At 50.4% G+C, this 26,560-nt stretch overlaps 1 protein-coding gene across 8 annotated transcripts in view, besides 2 other annotated features; it reads right to left on the reverse strand.

The window, feature by feature from the left end:
• The window catches only part of HIP1 (huntingtin interacting protein 1), a 205,644-nt gene that overhangs the window by 39,156 nt on the left and 139,928 nt on the right, over window positions 1-26,560 (reverse strand). For all 8 annotated transcript variants that reach the window (NM_001243198.3, XM_011516116.3, NM_005338.7 and 5 more), the window contains exons 3-8: window positions 19,919-20,061; window positions 19,603-19,659; window positions 14,300-14,380; window positions 9,622-9,698; window positions 8,784-8,845; window positions 1,308-1,448 (exon numbers count right to left, since the gene is read on the reverse strand). In NM_001243198.3, the coding sequence (NP_001230127.1) occupies window positions 1,308-1,448; window positions 8,784-8,845; window positions 9,622-9,698; window positions 14,300-14,380; window positions 19,603-19,659; window positions 19,919-20,061 (561 nt within the window). The remainder of the gene's footprint in view (window positions 1-1,307; window positions 1,449-8,783; window positions 8,846-9,621; window positions 9,699-14,299; window positions 14,381-19,602; window positions 19,660-19,918; window positions 20,062-26,560) is intronic.
• Window positions 22,478-23,425: an enhancer, noted in NCBI's record as "H3K27ac-H3K4me1 hESC enhancer chr7:75224249-75225196 (GRCh37/hg19 assembly coordinates)". NCBI's record gives its function as "activates a minimal SCP1, AML or CMV promoter by ChIP-STARR-seq in naive H9 embryonic stem cells {active_cell/tissue: H9 hESC(naive)}" and the evidence as "EXISTENCE:reporter gene assay evidence [ECO:0000049][PMID:30033119]".
• Window positions 24,340-24,479: an enhancer, noted in NCBI's record as "active region_26179". NCBI's record gives its function as "activates an Ori minimal core promoter by ATAC-STARR-seq in GM12878 lymphoblastoid cells {active_cell/tissue: GM12878}" and the evidence as "EXISTENCE:reporter gene assay evidence [ECO:0000049][PMID:35858748]".

Here is a 26,560-nt window from a genome sequence, read left to right on the forward strand (position 1 = left end):
CCAGGTCTGCTGATATTTGTGCTGTTCGTAGGATGCACGACATACTTGTTGAATGGTGACGTGCTCAAGCTAGAGGCAGACAGAGAGGACCATCCTGGTGATGGCAGCTGCCAGTCCAGATGGCCTGCCACTGCCATCATGCCAGCTGCAGCAGGGAGGCATGGCCAGGGCTGCACACTCCATGGAACAGGCAGAAGCCTCACCCTGCTGGATGGGGCTGTAGCCGCCCAAGTTGTGACTGCAGATCTGAGCCTCCCTGTGCTCTTGAGGGTCCGGAGCAGGCAGGAACCCTACCTTCCCAGGTGCAGCTGCAGCCACCCAAAACACAGCTGCAGACTTGGGCCTCCCACTCCATGGAGTGGGTGGCAGCCCTGCTGCCCCGCACCCGCCCCCAGCCCCAGCTGCAGACTCAGGCATCCCTGTACTCTTCAGGGCCTGAGAAGGCTCTCCCTCCCCTCTTCTGAACCTGTTCCCGCTGCCTGGCTTCTCCCTGCTGTCGGCACCCACTCTGATCTTAGAGCAAAGTTGGGGCTGAGCCCTGTTGCCATGCATGGCAGCGGGAGGCAGACAGATTCCTGGGTGAAAGGGCGGGTCCCCGGTGGGGGCCGGGCTGCCAATCCCACAGACCGGAGTGGGAACTTGGGGTGCCCTTTCTGGGCCTGCCCATGGACCAATCGTGGTGCATTTCCTCCCCTCTGAGGCCCATAAAAGGCCTGAGCTCAGCCAGAGCTGAGCAGAGATGGGACGACCAGCTACAGAGAGGAGCTACCCTCTCTGCTGAGGCTTCAGAGACCTGCAGAGATGCTAGGATAATCAGCTGCAGAGAGGAGCTACCCACTCCATGGCCTCTTTTCTGCTGAGAGCTGAACACTCGACAGGACAACCTGCCTACAGACAGAGAGCGGTACCCACTGCAGTCTCCTCTGAGCTGTTCTAATACTCAATAAAGCTCCTCTTCATCTTGTCCACCCTCCACTTGTCTGCATACCTCATTCTTCCTGGATGCCGAACAAGAACTCGGGCAAAGGCACCACTGGCCCCAGAGGTTTCCAGCCAGAAAACGGACACCCCAAAGATCCTGTAACACTGGGACGCAAGAGTGGCAAGCCAGGGGCTTTACTGGGGTCACCAAAGCCTGGGCCCTGCTCTTTTATCCTCACAATGGTCAGAAGCTCCGGGGCCTTTTGGAACAGAAGCAGACAGCCAAAGGCACTGAGAAGGACTGCGTTTCTCTGGGGACATCCTCAGGCTGGGATCCTCCCTCTGGCCTGAATCTCATGTAAGAAGATCTGGCCCGCGGTACTCACAGGAGTGGAGTTTGAAGAGAAGCTTGACAGTGTAGTCATAAAGGTGGCTGCAGTCCAAGATGACCTGGATCAGCGGGGCGAGGCGGCACTGCCCTGCTGCCGTCACGGACACAGAGCGGGACATGTCCAGGGAGTTGAATACTAGGAAATAAAAGTGAGGGAGAAAGGTGGTAGAGCCAGGGGATTACAGGCAGCCTCTTCAGAGGGGCAGAGGCAGGGGTCCAACATACACCAAGGACCGATTCTGTGCGTGCTTTACCTCATCTAATTCATTTAACCTTCACAACACTCCCATGAGATAGGTAAACGTATCCCCATTAAACAGGTGAAGAAACAGAAGGTTAGTAACTTGAAGGCTCTCACAAAGTCAGGAAGTGGTTTTGTTAGCCGAGCATGGTGGCGCATGCCTGTAATCCCAGCTACTCAGGAGGCTGAGGCAGGAGAATCGCTTGAACCCGAGAGGCAGAGGTTGCAGTGAGCCAAGATCATGCTATTGCACTCCAGCAACAGAGCAAAACTCAGTCTCGAAAAAAAAAAAGTGGTTTTGGCAGGGTGTGGTGGCTCACGCCTGTAATCCCAGCACTTTAGGAGGCTGAGGCGGGTGGATCGCCTGAGGTCAGGAGTTCGAGACCAGCCTCTCCAACATGGGAAAACCCTGTCTCTACTAAAAATACAAAAATTAGCTGGGCATGGTGGCACATGCCTGTAATCCCAGCTACTCGGGAGGCTGAGGCAGGAGAATCACTTGAACCCAGGAGGCAGAGGTTGCAGTGAGCCGAGATTGCACCACTGCACTCCAGCCTGGGTGACAAGAGTAAGACACCATCTCAAAAAAAAAAAAAAAAAAGTGGTTTTGTTGAGAGGTGGTGAGTTAACAGACTTGTTGGAGAGCCCAAGAGCTGATGGGGCCAATGATGGTTAGACCAGGAGCCTTTGCTCTTGAGAGTCAGAATATTCAGTGCATCATGACTGGGTGAACTAAGCGCTACTCTGTGCAGAGACCCCTGATAGCTCAGGGAAGAAGAGATTTGCTCATAACCTGGGAGAGCTCCTACCATGGCGGACATGGAGGAGGAGCCTCATCTTCATTTTTTTCCTCTTTACGAGACTGGGTCTCAGCCAGGTGCAGTGGCTCACGCCTGTAATCCCAGCACTTTGTGAGGCCGAGGTGGGGGGACTGCCTGAGCCTGAGTTTGAGACCAGCCTGAGCAACATGGCAAAACCTTATCTCTACTGAAAATACAAAAATTAGCCAGGCGTGATGGCTCACGCCTGTAATCCCAGCTACTTGGGAAGCTGAGGCAGGAGAATCGCTTGAACCCAGGAGGTGGAGGCTGCAGTGAGCCAAGATCCCACCACTGCACTCCAGCCTGGGCGACAGAGTGAGACTCTGTTTCATAAATAAATAAAACAAAACAAGCCAGGCACAGTGGCTCATGCCTGTAATCCCAGCACTTTGGGAGGCCGAGGCGGGTGGATCGCCTGAGGTCAGTAGTTCGAGACCAGCCTGGCCAACATGGCAAAACCCTGTCTCTACTAAAATACAAAAATTAGCTGGGTGTGGTGGCGTGTGCCTGTAAACCCAGCTACTTGGGAGGCTGAGGCAGGAGAATCGCTTGAGCCTGGAAGGTGGAGGTTGCAGTGAGCTGAGACGGTGCCACTGCACTCCAGCCTGGGTGACAGAGTGAGACTCCATCTCAAAAGAAACCAAACCAAAACAAAACAATACAAAACAAGAAAAATAAGAAAAAGGACTTGGGAGAAGGAAGATATGTCAGGGTTCAGGGCTGAAACTTGGGGCACCTGTCAACAAAAATAGAAGTCTTGCCTCCACCCTCTTGAGTTTCAGAGACAAAGTTGCTCCCTCAATTTCTCACGCTGGGGCTCCCTCCACACTAACCTCCTGCCCCCCATCCTAGACCAAGCAACTGGCCGTCTGGCTGCAGACACTCAGCTCACACCACTGGCCAGGCTGATTTTCTTTCTTGCACTGGCCACCCACTGCCTCTGCAGACTCTGCACGCGGCGGGCAATGAAATGACTCTCCCCGCGGTCCCTCTGTGAGTGGAACTGGCCCAGAGGGAAGCCTAGCACTGCCTGTATTCCGCTTCCCGACTGCACTAATCCCTGGTAACTGGGTTAGTCTGGCAGCTGAAAAAAAAAAAAATCCCGAACTGTTCTAATTAAAAGGCAGCTTTTCTTCTTGACACAAATTAAAAGCAGCTGTCACTGCAAGGCAGCCATCCCCAAGTCTACCGGCTTCCTCAGGCTCCAACTGGCAGGAACCACGGGCTGTTCCATTTCCCTGCCTGGCCCCGATTCCTGATACCTTCCAGGAATGCCCTTTGGCATCCAGAAACATCTAGAGCAGTGTCATCACGGACAAGTTGCTCAGTCACTCTGTGCCTCCTGATGCTCTTCTGTTGAGCACATGTGGCTATAACAGTGCATACCTCGTAAGGGTCTCAGAGGACTTCAATGAGAATGCTGGGAAAAGTGCATGGAATTGTGCAGTGGTTCTTGACTTTGGCTTTGAGACTGGTTAGGATCACCTGGGGAAACTGAAACACTAAAGTCTTCCTGCAACCCCCAGAACCGCCCCACCATCTGTTTCAATTGGTCTGCTGTATGTTGGGATGTCAGTGGGTGTCAAAAGTCTTCCCCTGCTGTCCCCCGTTAGGCCAGGTGCTGTGGCTCATGCCTGTAATCCCAGCACTTTGGGAGGCTGAGGTGGGAGGACTGCTTGAGGTCAAGAGTTCGAGGCCAGCCTGGCCAACATGGGGAAACCCCATCTCTACTAAAAATACAAAAATTGGCCAGGTGTGGTAGCGGGCACCTGTAGTCCCAGCTACTCAGGAGGCTGAGGCACAAGAATTGCTTGGAGGCTGCAGTGAGCCAAGATCCCACCACTGCACTCCAGCCTGAACGACAGAGCAAGGCTCCGTTTCAGAGAAAACAAAAACAAAAAAAACGCCCCAGGTAGATTCTAATCTGCATCCAGGGTTGAAAACTGTATGTCCAAGCTCAGTGGTTGTCAAGTTTTAGCACACATCAGAATCACCCACAATAGTGCTATCCAATAGAATTCTACAATGATGAAAATGTTCATATAAACTTTTTAATATATTAGCCATATGTGGCTTTCTGAAATATGCCTGAAATAGGACTAGTGCAGCTGAGGACCTGACTTTTAAATGTTATTTAATTGTAATCAAGTTCAATGATCACATGGGGCTAGTGAGTGCCCTATTGGACAGTGCACACTGCGGGTGCTTCTTAAAGCACAGGAGGCTGGGGTTGGTGGCTCATGCCTATAATCCCAACACTTTGGGAGGCTGAGGTGGAAGGATCACTTGAGCTCAGGAGTTCGAGACCAGCCTGGTCATATAGCAAGACCCCATCTCTACAAAAAATTAAAAAATTAGCTGGGTGTGATGGCACACATCCCTGGTCCCAGCTACTCAGGAGGCTGAGGTGGGAGGATCCCTTGAGACCAGGGAGGTCAAGGCTGCAGTGAGCTATGATTGTGCCACAGTACTCCAGCCTCGGCGACAGAGTGAGATCCCATCTCCAAAAAAAAAAAAACGAGAGAGAGAGAAAAGAAAAACAGCAGTGATGATGAAATAGGTGAATAGAATTCATTACATAGTGTTAACTTTCAGCTACATGCTCTGGGAAACTCTAGGGTGAATTACTTAGAGTCTTCTGGACCAGAGCTACCCGACTATAACTCCTGGATTCAAGCAATCTTCCCACCTTGGCTTCCTAAAGTGCTGGGTTTATAGGCATGAGCCACTGCACCTGGTAGCCTGCTGTTTTTCAAAAAGCAAGCATTCTTTTATGGTTGAGGGCCTGCTATTCACCAGGCACTGGACTAGAACAGAGGGAATTTAGAGATGAGTAGGTCAGCATCTCGTGGTAACAATATTAATGAACAATGCATATAAAACCAGAGCAGGCTGGGCACGGTGGCTCATGCCTATAATCCAAGCACCTTGGGAGGCCAAGGCAGGCCGATCACTTGAGGCCAGGAGTTCGAGACTAGCCTGGCCAACATGGTGAAACCCTGTCTCTACTAAAAGTACAAAAATTAGCCGGGCGTGGTGGCACACACCTGTAATCCCAGCTACTCAGGAGGCTGAGACAGGAGAATTGCTTGAGCCTGGGAGGCGGAGGTTGCAGCGAGCTGAGATGGTGCCACTGCACTCCAGTCTGGGCAACAGAGCGAGACTCTCTCAAAACAAAACAAACAAACACACAAAAAACCAGAGCTAGGGGTCATGAGATGTGGCACAAAAAAGATGGCTGAGCTCACCACCTCTACCCCTTACTCATTCTCTCAGCTAACCAAGTCCTTTTGGACCTCATCACCATCTCCGCTTACTCATGGTCCACGGTCTGTCAGGAACTGGAAGGATGACCCAAAGGTTGAAACATTTGTCTTGCTTATCCCTAAACACCACAGCAGCGGGAGGCAGGCAGGCAGCCGGCTCCAAGAAGAGGTGAGAGCCATGGGGAGAGAGCTTGTGTCAGCCGAACTGCAACTTCTAGGCTGCACTTTCCCAAGGATGACAATTCTAAGAATCTCACTCACGCCTGCATTCAGATCTAGCACATTCCAAAGCTAAATGCAGGCTGGGCGTGGTGGCTCATGCCAATAATCCCAGCACTTTGGGAGGAAAAGGCAGGCACATCACTTGAGCTCAGGAGTTTGAGACCAGCCTGGGCAACATAATGAAGCCTTGTCTCTAAAAAAAGTACACAAAAATTAGCTGGGCATGGTGGTGCGTGCCCGTAGTCCCAGCTACTTGGGAGGCTGAGGTAGGAGGATGGCTTGAGCCCCAGAAGCGGAGGTTGCAGTGAGCCGGAATCGCACCACTGCATTCCAGCTTGGGTGACACAACCAGACTATCTCAAAAGAAACAACAACAAAAAAGTGAAAGCTAAATGCGAATGAATTCTGAATTATCCACATACGTTGTTCCCACCAAAATCCAAATGATGAAAAGTTAGCCACAACAATGTATACTTGTTTATATACTTTTATGCAAACATTTCCAAAGCATTTTTTTTTTCAAGGAGTCTTGCTCTGTCACCCGGGCTGGAGTGCAGTGGTGTGATGTTGGCTCACTGCAACCTCTGCCTCCCGGGTTCAAGCAATTCTCCTGCCTCAGCCATCTGAGTAGCTGGGATTACAGGCACACACCATCAATCACGCCTGGCTAATTTTTGTATTTTCAATAGAGATGGCGTTTCACCATGTTGGCCAGGCTGGTCTTGAACTCCTGACCTCATGATCCACCTGCCTTCGCCTCCCAACGTGCTGAAATTACAGGCATGAGCCACTGCGCCCGGCCCCAATGCATTTTTTAAAAAATAAATGCATCTACACCACTGCTTTCAGTCTGACTGGGAATAGCTTAGGGCATAGACTAGATTCTGCGTTTTATTTTTATTTCTCTACTGACTTTTGTATAACACCCTGCTCAAATAGCTTCCTAGTCGGCTGAATGTCCCTTTCTCGCACAAACCGCAGTTTCCAGCTGTTTCTGGTGTTGGTCTTTCTTTTTTCTGAGACAGAATCTTGCTCACTGCATCTCGGCTCACTGCAAACTCCGCCTCCTGAGTTCAAGCCATTCTCCTGCCTCAGCCTCCTGAGTAGTTGGGATTACAGGTGCTCACCACCACACCTGGCTAATTTTTGTATTTTTAGTAGAGACAGGGTTTCACCATGTTGCCCAGGCTGGTCTTGAACTCCTGACTTCAGGTGATCCGCCCCCCTTGGCCTTCCAAAGTGCTAGGATTACAGGCATGAGCCACTGTGCCTGGCCTGTTTCTGGTGTTTTTCTGACCACATCCTGTGCTGAAGACTGGTCAATGTATTACAGAATTTGTTGCCCTGTCCCAGCCATCGTACAACACAAAACAGAATATTCTGGAAAAGAGGCCAGTAGTAGGCATTTCTGCACAGATGAACAAGCTGAAGGAAGCTGAAGGAAATTCGGGGTCAGAGAGTCCAAGCCCCAAGAGTGGGTCCTGCCTGTCCACATGCAGAGAAGGCCACGAGGCTTGGGCATGAGACCACCAAGCTTGCGTATGGAGACCTGCAATGTGGAACGTTGTCTTTCAGAGTTGGATGCTTGTCATGGAACGCCCTGAGTCTCAGAACGCTGGTGCTTACATCCCCCAGGGAAAGGAGGGGAGCCTGCTGGGAGATGTGGGGAGGAGACGCGCTGGAGAGAAGGGGACCAGCTGAGGCTTGTCAGGGAAGCATTAGGGGCTGATGGTCTGGAGGCACCACAGTTCTTGGCAGGCAGGAGCCTGGAAGTGTGGCCACTCCCCCTGCTAGTGGAACAGGACTGTGTGAGCTTCTCATGTGGACTTGGGTGACAACCAGTCCTGGGTGACAACCAATCCTGACCAGCTTGTTTCCCATGGCTGCCAACTCAACAACAGACATGAGCCCTTCCTCCTCAGTAGAAATCGTGCCCATGAGCCAGCCCAGTTCCGAGTAGCAGACAAGACTGGACCAAGGACTGGCCAGGGCCATGGCTACAGTCCAGTGGCTGGCAAAGAGGTAAGACCTGTCTTTGGGCTTTTGGAGGCCTGCGCTTCAGGAGAGAGGCCAGTAGGAAGGGGCAGTGTGTGGTCTTTCTGCTCAGACGTGAAACCACCCGCTTGGAAAATATCTAGGAGGCCAGGTGTGGTAGCTCACGCCTGTAATCCCAGAACTTTGGGAGGCTGAGTTGGGAAGACACCTTGAGGCTGGTAGTTCAAGAACAGCCTGGGCAACACAGTGAGACCCCTATCTCTGCAAAAAATATAAAAAATCAGCCAGATGTGGTGGTGCGTGCCTGTAGTCCCAGCTACTTGGGAGGCTGAGGTGGGAGGATCATTTGAGCCTAGTAGTTTGAGGTTGCAGTGAGCCGTAACATGCCACTGCAATCCAGCCTGGGCGACAGAGTGAGACCTTCTCTCTCTCTCTCTCTTTTTTCTTTTGAGATGAAGTCTTGCTGTATCACTCAGGCTGGAGTGCAATGGCATGATCTTGGCTCACTGCAACCTCGACCTCCTGGGTTCAAGCAATTCTCCTGCCTCAGCCTCCCAAGTAACTGGGATTACAGGCATGTGCCACCATGCCCGGCTAATTTTTATATTTTTAGTAGAGACAGGGTTTCACCATGTTGGCCAGGCTGGTCTTGAACTTCTGGCCTCAAGTGATGGGCCCACCTTAGCCTCCCAAAGTGCTAGGATTACAGGTGCGAGCCACTGCACCCGGCCGAGACCTTGTCTCTTAAAAAGAAAAATACTGAAGAGGTTCAGTCCCTCCCTGCACGAGGGTTGGAGAGACCAGAGATGGGGTGTGAATGTCTCCATTTTCCTACCCCTTGTGCTGCACACTTTGCAGGGAGAGGAGGACTAGGAATTAGGTAGTTCCCATGAGAGCCTGGGTTAGACGGGAGGGAAGAGACTCACCTGTTTGGAAGAGGTTGAGTTCACACTCCAGGTAGTCAAACATCTCCACTGTTAACTGGAAACTGGACCCAAGAGGAAAGAGAGCTTACACTCCACAGCCTGAGGCCGGTCTGTTACCTGTCCCCTCCCCCACGCTCTACGCTACTCCAGTCTCCAATGCTCATGTGCATGCGCAAACACACACACAACTCCAGCTCCAAGTCTTAGCCTTGTGGGTATTATGGCCATGCAGCCTGGTGAAGTCAACAGTGACAGCGACAGGTCGGGGGCGGTGGCTCACGCCTGTAATCCCAGCACTTTGGGAGGCCGAGGTGGGCGGATCACCTGAGGTCAGGAGTTCAAGACCAGCCTGGCCAACGCGGCGAAACCCCATCTCTACTAAAAATATAAAAATTAGCTGGGTGTGATGGCGCATGCCTGTAATCCCAGCTACTCGGGAGGCTGAGGCAGGAGAATCACTTGAACCTGGGAGGTGGAGGCTGCAGTAAGCCGAGATCAAGTCACTGCACTCCAGCCTGGGTAACAGGGCAAGACTGCCTCTCAAAAAACAAAAACAAAAACAGTGACAGTGACAGAGGGAGAGGATAGGTACCAGTGTTGGAGTCAGAGGGCAGAAAGCGAGACAGACAGGAAAGCTTTGGGGTGTGAAATAGCCAGGCAGGGGTTCTGGATGAGGCACCACCAATAAATAAGTAGCCCCAAGGCCAAGTCACCCAGGGGCTTTGGTCCCCATCCCAGCCACGGCCTCCCCCCATCAGGCCCTCCATGACCCTTATGAGAAGTGTCAGCATTCACAAAAGCTTTCTCCCTCCCTGGGCTCAGGGCAGGAGCCACTTACAAGTTGTTCACGTCACTTTCTCCAGCCTCGTCCAGCTGGCGGTCACTCATCTGCAGGTTGCCTGGGAACCTGGGATTCTGGAAGGGAGGCAGAGGAAGGGAGTCAGGGCAGAAGACATGAAGAGCCCTCTCTCAGCCGGGCGTGGTGGCACACGCCTGTGGTCCCAGCTACTTGGGAGGCCGAGGTGGGAGGATTGCTTGAGCCCGGGAGTTCAAGTTTACAGTTCAAGGCCACTGCACTCCAGCTTGGTTACAGAGTGAGACCCTACCTCAAAACAAACAAAAAAGAAAAAAAGAAAAATCGCTGGTATCATCAATCATTGCTGAGTATCTACAGCCAGCATGATCCTGTCATCTGTGTGGTTTGTCCCTGTGGCAAAGGGAAAAGGCCACAGAGATGGGTGGCCATTCCATCGTGGGGCATCTACATGTACAAGTGGATACTTTAGGCTCTAGGCCAGGTGCGGTGGCTCACACCTGTAATCCCAGCACTTTGGGGGCCAAGGCAGATGGATCACTTGGGGTCAGGAATTAGAGACGAGGCTGGCCAACATGGCAAAACCCTGTCTCAACTAAAAATACAAAAATTAGCCGGGTGTGGTGGTGCACGCCTGTAGTCCCAGCTCCTTGGGAGGTTGAGGCAGAATTGCTTGACGCTGGGAGGCGGAGGTTGCAGTGAGCTGAGATCGCACCACTGCACTCCAGCCTGGGCAAGAGTGAGACTCCGTCTCCCCCACCGCAAAAAAAAGAAAAAAAAATCCCCATTGCAGACTTTGCTCCTGGGCTCCATGGTGCCAAGGCCTCTGAGGCTTGACCTGGCACCTGGGACACAGTTTTCCTTTGCCCCAAGTCATACACGCTGAGATTACAACCTCTGACCTCAATTTCAGCACCTTCACCTCTACTCCATCCCCACTCCAGACTCTGCCATCACCTAAAACATCCCTGCCCAGACCTCCCCACACCAGCATCTCCCTCTCTGGCTGCATCGCCCAGGCCTCTGCCCTTTCAGTCCTCTCCTGCCCTCAAGTCCACCCACTACTCACGCTTCTGTCTCAGAGATGGCCAGTCCCCTCCTGCTCCCTCTCCTCCCCATCTCTCTGCCTGCCTTTGCTTCCTGGCTCAGTCTTGACATCATGACTGGTGGCCTGGCTCCACTTCCCCACACCCTGCCTGCCTTTCTACCACACTGCTTGGAAGACCTGCTGAGAGCCTGGGTCCTTGTCATCGGCTCTGCACCTAGGGCCGGCTGCCGACTGTCCCTGGAGAAAGACTCACAGCTGGTGTCACTATGCATTCACGCTCTCTGTCCTGAACGTCCGTCTCAGTCAGCTCGGGCAGTTATAACAAGATACCATGCACTGGGTGGCTTAACCCATAGAGAGTGTCTTTCAGTTCTCGAGGCCAGGGAGTTCAAAGTCAGGGTGTTGACAGATTCGGTGCCTGGTGAGGCGCTTCATCCTGATTACGTTGCTTACATGGCAGAGGAGGGGGAAACCAGCTCTCTCTTGTTTCTCTCTCTTTTTTTATTTTTTAGAGACATGGCCTCACTGTTGCCCACGCTGGAGTGCAGTGGCATGATCATCACTCACTGCAGCCTCGAATTCCTGGGCTCAAGTGATCCTCCACCTCAGCCTCCTCAGTAGCTGGTACTACAGGCATACACCACCATGCGGGCTAATTTGTGTGTGTGTGTGTGTGTGTGTGTGTGTGTGTGTGTGTGTGTGTGTGTTTAGTAGAGATGGGGTTTCGCCACATTGGCCAGGCTGGTCTTGAACTCCTGACCTCAGGTGATCCGCCCGCCTTGGCCTCCCGAAGTGCTGGGATTACAGGTGTGAGCCACCACGCCCAGCCAGAGAATGAATTTTTCTTTAATGTGTGCGGGATATTTTTGTTGTTGTTTTCGAGACGGAGTCTCACTCTGTTGCCCAGGCTGGAGTGCAATGGCATGATCTCAGCTCACTGCAACCTCAGCCCCTTGGGTTCAAGCGATTCTCCTGCCTCAGCCTCCTGAGTAGCTGGGATTAACAGGCACGCACCACCATGCCCGGCTAATTTTTTTGTATTTTTAGTGGAGATGGGGTTTCACCATGTTGCCCAGGCTGGTCTTGAACTCCTGACCTCAGGTGATCCACCCGCCTCGGCCTCCCAGAGTGCTGGGATTACAAGCGTGAGCCACCGCGCCTGGCCAAAAAAAATTTTTTTTAAGAGACAGGGTCTCACTGTGTTGCCCAGGCTGGTCTCACCTCAAGCCTTGGCCTCCCCAAATGCTGGGATTGCAGGTGTGAGCCACTCTGCCCAGCCTCCTTCCCCACTCTTGTATCGCTAATTGCTAAAAACTGGAAAAGTCCTTTGCTCCTCCACACTTGGACAATACCAGCTTCCCCTTTTTCTCTGCTTTCTAAAACCAGGAAAAACAAGACAGCAGTGAGCTCGAGAGCCTCTGGAAGCAAAGCCAGCTGCATCCTCTTCGACCCCAGTTCTCCAAGCCCACGTGACCATTCCCTTCTGCCCTTCCATGCTATTAAAAGCTAGGGGACTGGCTATTGGCACCAGCTGCTTCTGATGCCACTGAACTCTGCTGTCTTCCTATATACAAGGCAAAGGGACCCCTTTGGCCTCTATCAGCCCCGCAGCCCCACTGCCCCAGCTCCCATCCCAGTCCTCTTCCTCCTTAACCTTCTTCCCAGTCTTGCTTTCTCTACACCCTCCTTTCTTTCCTTTTCCACCTAAAATCCTACCCTAGGCCCTTCCTCCTCCCACTTTCCATTTAACACTTTTTTTTTTTTTTTTGAGACAGAGTCTTGCTCTGTCACCCAGGCTGGAGTGCAGTGGCGCCATCTCGGCTCACTGCAACCTCCGCCTCCTGGGTTCAAGCCATTCTCAAGCCTCAGCCTCCTGAGTAGCTGGGATTACAGGTGCGTGTCACCACGCCCAGCTAATTTTTGTGTTTTTAGTAGAGATGGGGGTTTCACTATGTTGGTCAGGCTGGTCTCCAACTCCTGGCCTCAAGTGATCCTCCTGCCTTGGCCTTCCATTGTGTGGAGATTAGAGGTGTGAGCCACCACATCCAGCTCAATTTAACACTTTCAATCTCTACTCCCAAAACGTCTTTTTTTTTTTTTTTTTGAGATTGAGTCTTGCTCTGTCGCCCAGTCTGGAGTGCAGAGGCAGCATCTCGGCTCGCTGCAACCTCCGCCTCCCAGGTTCAAGCGATTCTCCTGCCTCAGCCTCCCGAGTAGCTGGGACTACAGACGTGAGCTAATTTCTTTTTGTATTTTTAGTAGAGACGGAGTTTTGCCATGTTGGCCAGGCTGGTCTTGAACTCCAGACCTCAGACGATCCGCCCGCCTTGGCCTCCTGAAATGCTGGGATGACAGGCGTGAGCCACTGCGCCCAACCCCAAAACATCTTAAATCCAGTTCTCACCTTTCCCCGCCTCCTCATGACACCTTTACCAGAGCCCGGTCCTCCCTCCAATCACACGCTACAAGCCCCCTCCCCTCCACACTCTCAGCCTCTCCCTCCTGCTTCTTCGCCTTGCAATCCAGCCCAAGGGCAGCCCGACTCCCCGCCTCAGCCTCTGACACCCTGGCCTGGCCCAGCCTCAGTTCTGGTTTACGTTGCCTCCTATGTGCCCACCCCTCTGCCTGATCCCCGTTGTCTCCCACAGTTGCCAGACCCCTGTACACCCCGCAGCTGCTCGCCTCCCCCACCTCACACTATCCATTGTGTCACCTTCTTCTCTCTTTTTTCTGTGAAACAGGGCCTCACTCTGTTGCCCAGGCGGGAGGGCAGTGATGCGATCATAGCTCACTGCATCCTTGACTTCCCAGGCTCAAGGTATCCTCCCACCTCAGCCTCCCGAGTAGCTGGGACTACAGTTGCACACTACCACGCCCGGCTAATTTTTAAATTTTTTTGTAGAGACAGGATCTTGCTATGGCCCAGGCTGGTCTCAAACTCCTGGTCTTAAGCGATCCTCCAGCCTCGACCTCCCATAATGCTCAGATTACAGGCATGAGCCACTGTGCCCAGCCAGGAATTGTTTTTATTAACAGTAAAATCAATGCTTCTGTAACATTTTCATAAGGCAATATAGTGCCTAGGGTTACTCTTTCTTTTTTTTGTTTTTTTTTTTGAGACAGAGTCTCATTTTGTCTCCCAGGCTGGAGTGCAGTGGCATGGTTTTGGCTCACTGCAACCTCTGCCTCCTGGTCTCAGGTTCAAGCGATTCTCCTGCCTCAGCCTCCCGAGTAGCTGGGACTACAGGCATGCATCACCACCATGGGTAATTTTTGTAATTTTAGTAGAGACGGGGTTTTGCCATGTTGTCCAGGCCAGTCTTGAACCCCTGACCTCGGGTGATCCATCCGCCTGGGCCTCCGAAAGAGCTAGGATTATAGGTGTGAGCCACCGTGCCTGGCCAGGTTTCTTTCTAGCTGCAAAATGGGGAACAAAGGGTGCAGAAGACACGGGCCAAAATCCCAGCCTTCGTCACACCCCGTGGGCCTGGCGGTGGCTTTCCTCTCTCACAGCTTGGGTACATGATGTGCACACTTCCTCAGAAGCCTGGGCTGTCTATTACCTGAAAGAGCTGACAAATGAGCCCAGGGAGGGGCTGAAGGGATGGAGCAGGGGAGGCGGCGGTGGCGGCAGAACTGTCCGCAGAGACTCACTTTGGTGTGGTACTCCATCTTGGTTCTTAGCAGTTTCAGGTAGATGCTGCACAGCTGGCCATACCCCTCGCTCAGGTGGCCCTTTTAGGAAGAGGAGGGGAAACAGAGTCAACAACAAGAACATAACAGTCAAGAGATCTGCAGCCAGGAATTCTCTGGTAAAGAATCTATCTTCTTTGTTTTCTCCCCTTTATTTTATTTATTTAGAGATGGGGTCTAGCTCTGTTGCCCAGGCTGGAGTGCAGTGGCATGATCTCGGCTCACTGCAGCCTCCACCTCCTGGGTTCAAGTGATTCTCCTGCCTCAGCCTCCCGAGTAGCTGGGATTACAGGCACGCACCACCACGCCTGGTCAATTTTTGTATTTTTGCTAGAGATATGGTTTCACCATGTTACCCAGGCTGGTCTCAAACTCCTGGCCTTGAGTGATCCACCTGCTTTGGCCTCCCAAAAGGCTAGGATTACACTACAGGTGTGAGCCACCACGCCCAGCTAATTTTTGTAGCTTTTAGTAGAGATGGGGTTTCACCATATTGGCCAGACTAGTCTCGAACTTCTGATCTCAGGTGATCTGCCCGCCTCTGCCTCCCAAAGTGCTGGGATTACAGGCGTGAGCCACCGCACCCAGCCATCTACCTTTATTCTTAAATGTAAAATAGAATCAATCTATTTTTCTTGCTTAATATGCTGCAATTTTATTCAACTTCTTAAACTTTCTTTCATTATTTTTAGTGACTGACCAGTATTATTGTAATTTATTGAACTGACTCAATAAATTCAAATGAGCTGAAGCCAATTCAAACCAGTTGAAATTTTTGCTATCATAAACCATTTCAATGAACATTCCTTATAGCACAATCTTTTGTACAAACATAAGGACTGCCTTTGATAAATTCTGGACAAAGCTTCCTACTTAAGAATGTTGAGTCTGGCCAGGTGCAGTGGCTCATGCCTGTAATCCCAGCACTTTGGGAGGCCGAGGAGGGAGGATTGCTTGAGCTCAGGAATTTGAGACCAGCCTGGCCAACATGGCGAAACCCCATCTCTACAAAAAATTAAAAAATTAGCTGGGCATGGTGGTGTGCACCTGTGGTCTCAGCTATTCAGGAGGCTGAAGTGGGAGGATCACTTGAGCCCAGGAAGTTGAGGCTGCAGTGAGCTGTGATCATGTCACCATTCCTCCAGCCTTGGTGACAGAGCAAGAAACTGTCTCAAAACACCACCACCACCACCAACACACACACAAAAGACTGCCTCCTTGGTATAGGGGAAGTAAAGATAAATAATAAAGTAACAAACGCTTGTACTCCTGCACTGAGGAAGTCCTCCCTAAGGACTATGAAGAATTCTACCGCCTCAAATCACCGCTGTGATTGGGGAAGGAAAATCTGCCCTAAACTCACAAAACCTTAAGCTGAGAATTTAATTTCGAGTGATCTCAATCGAAGCAAATGCCAATTCTCTCTGGAGGAACCTGCCTTCATTACAGACTTCAAAGAATTCTCCACAGATAAAATTCCAAGGAAGATGAGCAGCTTAGGGTAGAAAGTAACCGAACATAAAGAAAACTACACAGCATGGGCAAAATGCACCAAAAGGGACGGAGGACAGAAACAAATCTCTAAAGACTTTAGATAATAGAATTACAAAACATATATGAGATGACTTTGGTTCATATATCTAAAGAAATAAGAGACTGTTTCAAAATATATGCAGGGCATAATAAATTGTAAAGGAGGAGAAGCAGGGCCAGACACAGTGGCTCCTCCTGCCTGTAATCCCAGTGCTTTGGGAGGCTGAGGTGGCAGATCGCTTAAGCCCAGGAGTTCGAGACCACCCTTGGCAACATGGCGAAAACCTGCGTCTACAAAAATTAGCTGGGTTTGGTGGTGCACACCTGTTTTCCCAGCTACTTGGAAGGCTGAGGTGGAAGAATCACCTGAGCTCAGGAGGTTGAGGCTGCAATAAGCCATGATCGCGCCACTGCACTCCAGCCTGGGTGACAGAGTGAGACCCTGTCTCAAACAGCAACAACAACCACCTTCCCCCGCAAAAAACAAGCAGATTTGAAAAAAAATAAATAAATAGAACTTCAAGAAATGAAAACTGTACTAATTGGGCCAGGTGTGGTGGCTCATGCCTGTAATCCTAGCAATTTGAGAGGCTGAGGCATTGGATCACCTGAGGTTAGGAGTTCGAAACCAGCCTAGCCAACATGGTGAAACCCCATCTCTATTAAACATACAAAATTAGCTGGGCGTGGTGGCACATGCCTGTAATCCCAGCTACTTGGGAGGCTGAGACAGGAGAATCACTTGAACCTGGGAGGTGGAGGTTGCAGTGAGCAGAGATCGTGCCATTGCCCTCCAGCCTGGGCAACAAGAGCAAAACTCTGTCTTAAAAAAAAAAAAAAGAAGAAGAAGAAGAAGAAAAGAAAAGAAAACTGTACTAAATGAAATTGAAAACCTTATGGAGAAGCTTAATAACACATTAGACCCAACTGGAGAGGAGGCAAACTGAAGGCTAGAGTTGATAAAAATTATCCAGAATACAGCAAAGACAAATAGGTAGAAAAAACTGAAAGAGTGGTTTAGAGACATGAGGGGTAGGATGAGAAAGTCTGACACAGGTCTAGCCAAAATCTGAAAAGGGGCTGGGCGCGATGGCTGATGCCTGTAATCCCAACACTTTGGGAGGCCGAGGAGGGAAGATCACTTGAGGTCAGGAGTTCGAGACCAGCCTGGCCAACATGGCAAAACCGTGTCTCCACTAAAATATAAAAATTAGCTGGGTGTGGTGGTAGGCACTGTAATTCTAGCTACTCGGGAGGCTGAGGCAGGAGAATCGCTTCAACCTGGGTGGCGAAGGGTGCAGTGAGCTGAGATTATGCCAGTGTACTCTGGCCCAGGCAACAGAGCAAGACTCTGTCTCCAAAAAAAAAAAAAAAAAAAAAAAAAAAAAAAAGACTTTTTTTTTGGGTTTTTTTTGTTTTTTTTTGAGACGAAGTCTCTCTCTGTCACCTAGGCTGGAGTGCAGTGGTGCGATCTCGGCTCACTGTGAACTCCGCCTCCCGGGTTCACGCCTTTCTCCTGCCTCAGCCTCCTGAGTAGCTGGGACTACAGGCACCCACCACCACGCCCGGCTAATTTTCTGTATTTTTTTAGTAGAGACGGGGGTTTCACCGTGTTAGCCAGGATGGTCTCAATCTCCTGACCTCGTGATCCGCCCGCCTCGGCCTCCCAAAGTGCTGGGATTACAGGCATGAGCCACTGCGCCTGGCCAAAAACGACATTCTTAAACAAGCAAACACAGTGTCAGCCACCAGTAGGCTCTCAATTATGGAAGTTAGAAAGGAAATAATTCAGGCAGAAAGAAAGTGATCTCAGATGAAAGGTCTATGGAGAGCACAGAATAAAACAAGGAAAATAAAACAATAACTTACAGAATTTAAAGATAAACATAACCAAAACCAAAATACATGGTTATGCTAACAGATAAATTGAGGGACTGAATGGAACTAAAATATTCTAAAGTCTTTGTGTTATACAGGAAACAAAGATACGAAAGGTAGACCTAGATAAAACAAGCAAGCATTTTGTAATTATTAGAGAACATGCCAAAAACAAAAAAAGTAGATTTATTTTTTAACCTCCCAAATAGTAATGAGGAAAAAACAGAATGAGAAAAAAACACCCAGCCAATCCAAAAGAAGGCAAGGAATGAGAGAAATAGAAGTAGAACAGATGGGACAAATAGAAAACATAGAATAAAATGGGAGACATAAATCTAAACATACCACGTAGCATAATAAATGTAAATAGACTAAATGCCCAGTTAAAAGACAAAGACTACCATCCTGGATAAAAAAACAACAACCACAAACCACACAAAATCCAACCAAATGTTATTTATAAGTGTTATTTCTAAAACATAAAAATATAGGAATGCTTAAAGTAAAAAGATGGAGAAATATATACCAGGCAAATTCTAACAAAAAGGAAAAAGACCTAAACTTTACATGTTACAGGGAACGTTTTCTAGCACACAGTTGGGAAATCTGGGGACAACTCTCAACTTTGTTCTGGTACCTAATTTTGTGACTTTAGGACAAGCTGCTTCCCTTTCTGGGCCTGTGTTTCCTCACCTATGATAGGTAGATAGGACTACATAGTTGCCAACATTTTATAGGTGCAGACAGATACAGGTAAGACTGTGCAAAAAGGCTAAAGTAGTAGTTCTCAACTGGTAGAGGCAAAAGAACATATCAGAATCAACCAGGGAGATTTTTTTTTTTTTTTTGAGACAGAGTCTCACTCTGTCACCCAGGCTGGAGTGCAGTGGCCCAATCTTGGCTCACCACAACCTTCGCCTCCTAGGTTCAAGCGATTCTCCTGCCTCAGCCTCCCGAGTAGCTGGGATTACAGGCACACGCCACCACACCCAGCTAATTTTTGTATTTTTAATAGAGCCCGGGTTTCACCATGTTGGCCAGGTTAGTCTCAAACTCCTGGCCTCAGGTGATCTGCTTGCCTCGGCCTCCTAAAGTGCTAGGATTACAGGCGTGAGCCACTGCGCCTGGCCAAGAGAGATTCTTCAAAATGCAGATTACCCCTCTCCATATACACACCCACGGACATCAGAATCTGGGGTGATTGTGGTGTGTGTACAGAAATGCTCTTTTCCATTGACTGTGATATTGCCACCTACCTCCCCCCTCATCCTAAAGCACTGATAATCTCTAAACAGGAAAGAAAAAGCTCTGGCATTAAGAATTGGGTATGCTAATTCTAATTCTCAATGCACTATGACTCCAACGGGACCAGTGGAAGGAGAAGAGAAGTAGGAACTGTGGGCTGGGCACAGTGGCTCATGTGTGTGATCCCAGCACTTTGGGAGGCTGAGGTGGGAGGATCACTTGAGGCCAGGAGTTCAAGACCAGCCTGGGCAGCATAGCAAGACCCCGTCTCTACCAAAAAAAAAAAAAAAAAAGCAGGAAACATGGCCATGTAGCTACTGCTGAGGGATCCCAACCTTGGGCAGCTTTGTGACATGAGTTTATGAGTTTTCATTGGCAGGAGAAGCTCCCAGGCCCTGGAACTTTCCTGAAGCGTCCAGAGACCCCAGGCAAGACTATGGATATCATGGTACTCTTTGGGGGCATCCTTAGTCCGTCTCTGGCACCCATGGGAGAAATCCTCAACAAGCTGAAGGAGATGAATTTATTTCACCCTCCAGTCCTTGCTCTGTGGCCTCTGAGGAAGGAAAGGAGAAGCAGGTGGCTCCTGAGTACATCTCCAAACTCACCCACATCCTGCTCATGTCACTCAATTCATTTCTGTATCTCAGAGAGTCCTTCAGGACCTGCAGGGGCAAAAGAACAGCCTGTGAGAGAATGGAGAAGGAAAGAAAGACAAAGGGAAGGAGGATGGAGAGAGGCGGAGGTGAACCTAGGGCAGGGGGACAGGCTGATGGGAGGGAGACTCACCCAACTCTAATGGGGAACCCAAAGGCCAGGAGAAGGGGGCAGTGTGGGAGAGGACAGCAGCCTCTGTGGCCCAGGCAGTCACTTTCCCCACAAGGATCCCTGGCTCCCTGCCACCCCATAGCCCCAGGAACTCACGTTCGGGTGTCCATCTCGGAGGAGTTTGTGGAACACATGGCAGAACTTCCAGCAGAGCACTGCGTTGCTAGACAGAGGCAGGCGGTTGACAACAGACCAGAAGGTCTGTGCCCCTTTCTCATGGTGGGTGCCCAGTATGCACGGTGAGGGGGGGTTATGGAAAACAACGGATGGGCTCTGCCAGTCACTGCAGGGGACTGAGCCTGCACCCAGCCACTGCAGGGGACTGAGCCTGCACCCAGCCATCACAGGGGATAGAGGCTGCACCCAGCCACTGCAGGGGACCAAGCCTGCACACAGCCACTGCAGGGGACCGAGCAGTAGTGCAAGTCGTGGTTGGCAGTGCCTTGGAGGGAGCGCCGCTCAGAGCTAAGACACCACAGAACTGTACATTCCTTCTGGGAGTTTTAGGGCAGATGGGAATACTTATTTTAATAAAATCCACTTGAGTAGACAATTTCCCGAGATGTAAGCGTCTTGAGAGAGAGGTGTGTCTTTTTCTAATTTGCACAAATACCCTGTAGGCCACGGTGGTATTGGGTTGTCCTTTCTACGAGAATGCTGAGTTGATGATGTGTCCTTCGGGAATAACTACAGCTATTTGTTGTGGTGGTTAAGATAGGGTCTTACTCTGTCACCCAGACTGGAGTGCAGTGGTGTGATCATAGCTCACTGTAACCTCAAACTCCTGGGCTCAGGCAATCCTCCTACCTCAGCCTCCCAAGTAGCTGGGGCTATAGGCATGCACCACTGTGCCTGGCTAATTTTTAAATTTTTGGTAGAGATGAGATCTTGCTATGTTGCCCAGGCTGGTCTCAAGCTCCTGGCCTCAAGTGGTCCTCCCCTCTTGGCCTCGCAAAGTGCTGGGGTTACAGGCATGAACCACTGTGTCTGGCCTTATGACACCTAACTTTTAAACAACATTTGAGGGCTTCCTCAGGTTCTTTCTTATGCATTATTAAAAGTAAGGGTGTGCAAGCCAGGTGCAGAGACTCACGCCTATAATCCCAGCACTTTGGGGGGCCAAGGTGGGTGGATCACCTGAGCTCAGGAGTTTAAGATCAGCCTGACCAACACGGCGAAACTCCATCTCTACTAAAAATACAAAATTAGCTGGGCGTGGCGGTGGGCGCCTGTAATCCCAGCTTCTCAGGAGGCTGAGGCAAGAGAATTGCTTGAATCCGGGAGGTGGAGGTTGCAGTGAGCCAGGATCACGCCACTGCACTCCAGCCTGGGTGACAGAGCAAGACTCCATCTCAAAAAAAAAAAAAAAAAAAAAGTGAGAGTGTGCTTCTGCTCCTCATCAAGGACCTTGGTCCCTGCAGGGAGTCCTGCACCTTGACCCCTTGGCTCCTCCTCCAGGCAGCATCTCCCAGCCCCTTTCCATTTAGCCAGCCTTTTGCTTGCCTTGACAGCAGCAATCTTTGTTTAAAATGCCCTTTCTGTAAACCTCAACACCCCACTTCTTCCGTAAACCCACCTGGCCCTGTTCAGGGGCACCTTCAATCTCTCCACACCTTAAATTCCCCATATATGGAATCCTGGAACCGCTTCTCCCCAGGCCTAATTCCAAACACACCCACTCCCTGCAGATAGTCGTCAGTTTGCATGTAATAAATGTCCATCAGGGTGGAGCGCGGTGGCTCACACCTCCAATCCCAGCACTTTGGGAGGCTGAGGCGGGCGGATCACCTGAGGTCAGAGTTTGAGATCAGCCTGACCAATGTGGTGAAACCCCGTCTCTACTAAAAATACAAAATTAGCCCAGTGTGGTGGCGCATGCCTGTAATCCCAGCTACTCAGGAGGCTGAGGCAGGAGAATTGCTTGAACCCGGGAGGCAGAGATTGCAGTGAGCCGAGATCATGCCATTGCACTCCAGCCTGGGCAACGAGCAAAACTCTGCCTCAACAACAACAGCAACAACAAAAGCCCTTTCCATAAACCTGAACACCCGACTTCTTCCATAAACCTGCCTGGCCCTGTTCAGGGTCACCTTCAATCTCTCCACACCTTGAATTCCCCATATATGGGATCCTGGAACCACTTCTCCCCAGGCCTGATTCCAAACACACCCACCCTCTGCAGATAGTTGTCAGTTTGCATGTAATAAATGTCCATCAGGGTTGGGCGTGGTGGCTCACGGCTGTAATCACAGGACTCTGGGAGGCCGAGGTGGGCAGATCACGAGGTCAGGAGATCAAGACCAGCCTGGCCAACATGGTGAAACCCCGTCTCTACTAAAAGTACAAAAATTAGCCGGGCATGGTGGTGCATGCCTGTAATCCCACCTACTCGGGAGGCTGAGGCAGGAGAATCACTTGAACCTGGGAGATGGAGGTTGCAGTGAGCCAAGATTGCACCACTGCACTCCAGCCTGGGCGACAGAGCGAGACTCCATCTCAAAAATAAACAAATGTCCCTCTGGCCTCACATGATTTTAAGTTCGGCTATTCCAGATCTCTGTCATTAGTGAGCTCTTTTTGGAGTGAGGAGAGAATTTCCACTTTTGTAATTGTGTGCTTCAACAAGATTCACAGACCCAGTAACTGGGCACTGTCAGTTGTTAGGACAACTCTGTGCCCGGAACTTTAGGCTTTACTCAGCAAGGCTAGGTCGCAAGTGCACTGTCATTTAGGGCAGAAGGACTCATCTCAGGTAGGAAACTAAATGACTCACCCAGAGCACATGTTATTTTGCTTCTGAACTGGAAGATACCATAAAGCTCCTTTCCTCGATGACATCTTCATTTAGAGAGGGGTGGGCTTAAACAGATGTTTGGGTCTGGAAGCTAAAATCAGCTTTTGGTGTAGGAGTCCTTTCTTTCTTTCTTTCTTTCTTTCTTTCTTTCTTTCTTTCTTTCTTTCTTTCTTTCTTTCTTTCTTCCTTCCTTCCTTCCTTCCTTCCTTCCTTCCTTTCTTTCTTTCTCTCTCTCCCTTCCTTCCTTCCCTCCCTCTCTCTCTCGTTCGTTCTTTCTTTCTATTTTTTTTTTAGACAGGGTCTCGCTCTGTTGCCCAGGCTGGAGTGCAGTGGCACAATCTTGGCTCACTGCAACCTCCACCTCCCAGGTTCAAGTGATTCTCGTGCCTCAGCCTCCCAAGTAGCTGGGATCACAGGCACCCGCCACCATGCCCGGCTAATTTTTGTTTTTTTTAGTAGAGACGGGGTTTCACCATGATGCTCAGGCTGGTCTCGAACTCCTGGCCTCAAGAGATCCACCCACCTTGGCCTCCCAAAGTTCTGGGATTACAGGTGTGAGCCACTGTGCCTGGCCTTGGTGTAGGAGCGATTTCTGAAATAATTCAGAAATAATGCCTTTCTGGCATTCTTTCACATATAAGCATTTTTATGCCCCAAGTATGTGTCAAAGCCTGTAAAATCCATTCAGGGAGAAAAAAAAGAAAATAAGAAAAATAAGACTCAGTCCCCAGCCCTCCAGGAGTGAATACCAAGGTGGCGGGCCAACCTGTTCACCATTTAGGCATCTGTGATAAATGTGTAAGCAGCATTTCTGAAGTCAGACTTCCTAATGCTTATTCAGTTTGTATCTAAGGCAGCTGATAAAAGACCTGATAATAGATAAATGCGCTGGGCATGGTGGCTCACGCCTGTAATTGCAGCACTTTGGGAGGCCCAGCGGGAGGACTGCTTGAGCCTAGCTAGGAGTTCAAGACCAGCCTGGGCCACAGTGAGACCCCATCTCTATAAAAAATTAGCCAGGCATGATGGCATGTGCCTATAGTCCCAGCTACTCAGGAGGCTGAGGTGGGAGGATCACTTGAGCCTAAAAGTTGGAGGCTGCAGTGAGCCTCCAACTGATTGTGTCACTGCACTCCAGCCTGGGTGACAGTGCATGACCCTGCCTCAAAAAAAAAAAAAAAAAAAAAAGCTTTGGGATATCTTTAATTAGGCATTTCAAACCCTACTGTATGGAGTTGATTTTTCAACATTTATTCACCATTTAGAAATTATGAATCAGAGACTCATAGAATGTTAGGGCTGGACTGTTAAATCTTTGAAATCTTTTTCTTTTTGAAACAGAGTTTTGCTCTTGTTGCCCAGGCTGGAGTACAGTGGTACGATCTCGGCTCACTGCAACCTCTGCCTCCCAGGTTCAAGTGATTCTCCTGCCACAGCCTCCCAAGTAGCTGGGATTACAGGTACCTGCCACCACACCTGGCTAATTTTTGTTTTTTCAGTAGGACGGGGTTTTACCATGTTGGCCAGGCTGGTCTCGAACTCCTGACCTCAGGTCATCCATCCGCCTCCACCTTCCAAAGTGCTGGGATTATAGGCATGAGCCACCACACCTGGCCTGAAATCTTCTTTGTCCAACCTTTGATTGAACAGAAAGTGACCTAAGACTCATGGAGGCCCCACTCAAGGTCCCAGAGTGAGCCCGAGAGTTCCAGTGGCAGAATGTCAGAATCTCCTTGCAGGGCCCCTTCCCTCCTCCCAGGGAGCCTCCCGGCAGCATGTGACCTGACCCTGCCGCTGCAGGCCTGGCCTCTCTGCACCCATGTCTTGTCCTGAACAGCACACTGCCTGATGATAACTGTCTCTCCCTTACTCATATCTTTTATCAGATTGATCACAAATTATTCGTAGGTAAGGGTCAGGGCTGAGTCATTTCCTCTGAGAAAATCCACTGGGCCGTTTAAAATAAAGGCTTTTCTTGGTTTGCTTTGAATCATCGCAAGGGTACCAAACGTGATGCAGGAAACCAAGGGGCCTGTGTCTTTCTGGGGAAAAAAAGAGCAAGATCTAGCTAGGCTCGCACAGGGCTGGACTTCTGGGTTACCCCAGAGAGGTTCTGCAGCCGCCATCCTAATTCCAGCCAAAGCATCTTCCCACTAAAGGCAAGCTGCTTTCCCTCTAGCAAACAGCAGTTCATATATCACACTAAGCAATGCTGGGCTTCTCTGGCTATCTAACCTGGAGGGTCGCCTCTAGGGGTTGAGGCTAGAAGGCTTCGGGACAAGCTGCTCTGGCTTGCCTGGCTGTGACACAGTAACCAAGAGCCCAGGTGAGGAGAAGCTTCCCACTGCAGACAGAAGTCCAGCCTCTGAGGCTGGGTGCGGCCTCCGAAGTTGGGCGCGGTGGCTCATGCCTGTAATTCCAGCACTTTGGGAGGCCAAGGCAGGAGGATTGCTTGAGCTCAGGAGTTTGAAACCAGCCTGAGCAACATGGCAAAACCCCGTCTCTACTAAAAATACAAAAATTAGCTAGGGGTAGTGATACACACCTGTGGTCCCAGCTACTTGGGAGGTTGAGGCAGGTGGATCTCTTGAGCCTGGAAGGCGGAGGTTGCGGTGAGCTGAGATCATGCCACTGCACTCCAGCCTAGGCGACAGAGCAAGACTCTGTCTCAAAAAAAAAAAAAAAAAAGTCCCAACTCTGCTTGCCCGGAACTCCACCTTGCTCTGGCCCAGCACACAGAGAGTTAAAAGCTTAGCCACCCCCCTGGCAGACTCTCTCCTTCAGCCTTTGGGGATTAAGCGCTCCAGTTCCTGGATTCTGCAACTCAAAGGCAGATTCCTAGGGATTCATCAGCCAGCATGGTCCTGCACCTCTCTACAAAGCCACAGGCTGCTCCTGGGTGTGGTGGGCTTACAGAGGGCTTTCAAGTCACCCATTCCCTAATCCACTTCAAGGCTCTTGTCTTCTTCCCCCTGGCATAGGTTGAACCTGTTCACGAAGGTAGAGAGCCCCTGCCTCAGTTTAAGGCCAACCAACCTCTGAAGCTAAGACTTTCTTTTTTTCGGCCAGGCATGGTGGCTCATGCCTGTGATCTCAGCACTTTAGGAGGCTGAGGCCAGGCGTTCAAGGCCAGCCTGGCCAACATGGCAAAACCCCGGTCCTACTAAAATTACAAAAATTAGCCGGGTGTGGTGGCACACGCCTGTCATCCCAGCTACTTGGGAAGCTGAGGCACAAGAATCGCTTGAATCCAGGAGGCAGAGGTTACAGTGAGCCGAGAACATGCCACTGCCCTCCAGCCTGGGCAACAGAGTGGGACTCTGTCTCAAAAAAGAAAAAAAAAAAAAACTCTCTTTTTCTTTTTTTTTTGCTTTCATGCTCAGAAAAGGAGATAACTATTGATTATGCAACCCCCAGGGGAGTGGTCCCTGTGTTCCTGTAAAGGCAAAGAAAGGACCTGGAGGGCTTTGAATATAGGTGAAGATCCCTCCTGACCCCCAGGAGGTCTCTCAAAGGAAAGTAACTTTCAAGTGACTATGAGGTTCTACAAAGCTTGAGTCGGCCAGGTGCAGTGGCTCTCCCCTGTAATTCCAGCACTTTGGGGTTACAGAGGAGGGAGGATTGCTTGAGGCCAGCTTGGGCAATGAGCAATACCCCATCTCTAAAAATCATAAAATAAATTAGCCAGGCATAGTGGTGCACACCTGTAGTCCCAGCTACTCGGGAGGCTGAGACGAGAGGATTGCGTGAACCCAGGAGTTTGAGGCTGCAGTGAGCTATGATCACGCCATTGCACTCCAGCCTGGGCAACACGGCAAGACCCCTTTTGGAAAAAGAAAAAAAGGAGTGCTTAAGTCCTTAAGGAAAGGAGCAGGATCTTTGGCAAGTTGAAAGGCCTGGGCTCCACAGCCTTTTTGGTGTCTGCCACCCTGAAGGTCTGTGGT

Source organism: Homo sapiens, chromosome 7 (assembly GCF_000001405.40).
Source record: "Homo sapiens chromosome 7, GRCh38.p14 Primary Assembly".
Taxonomy (NCBI): Eukaryota; Metazoa; Chordata; class Mammalia; order Primates; family Hominidae; genus Homo; species Homo sapiens.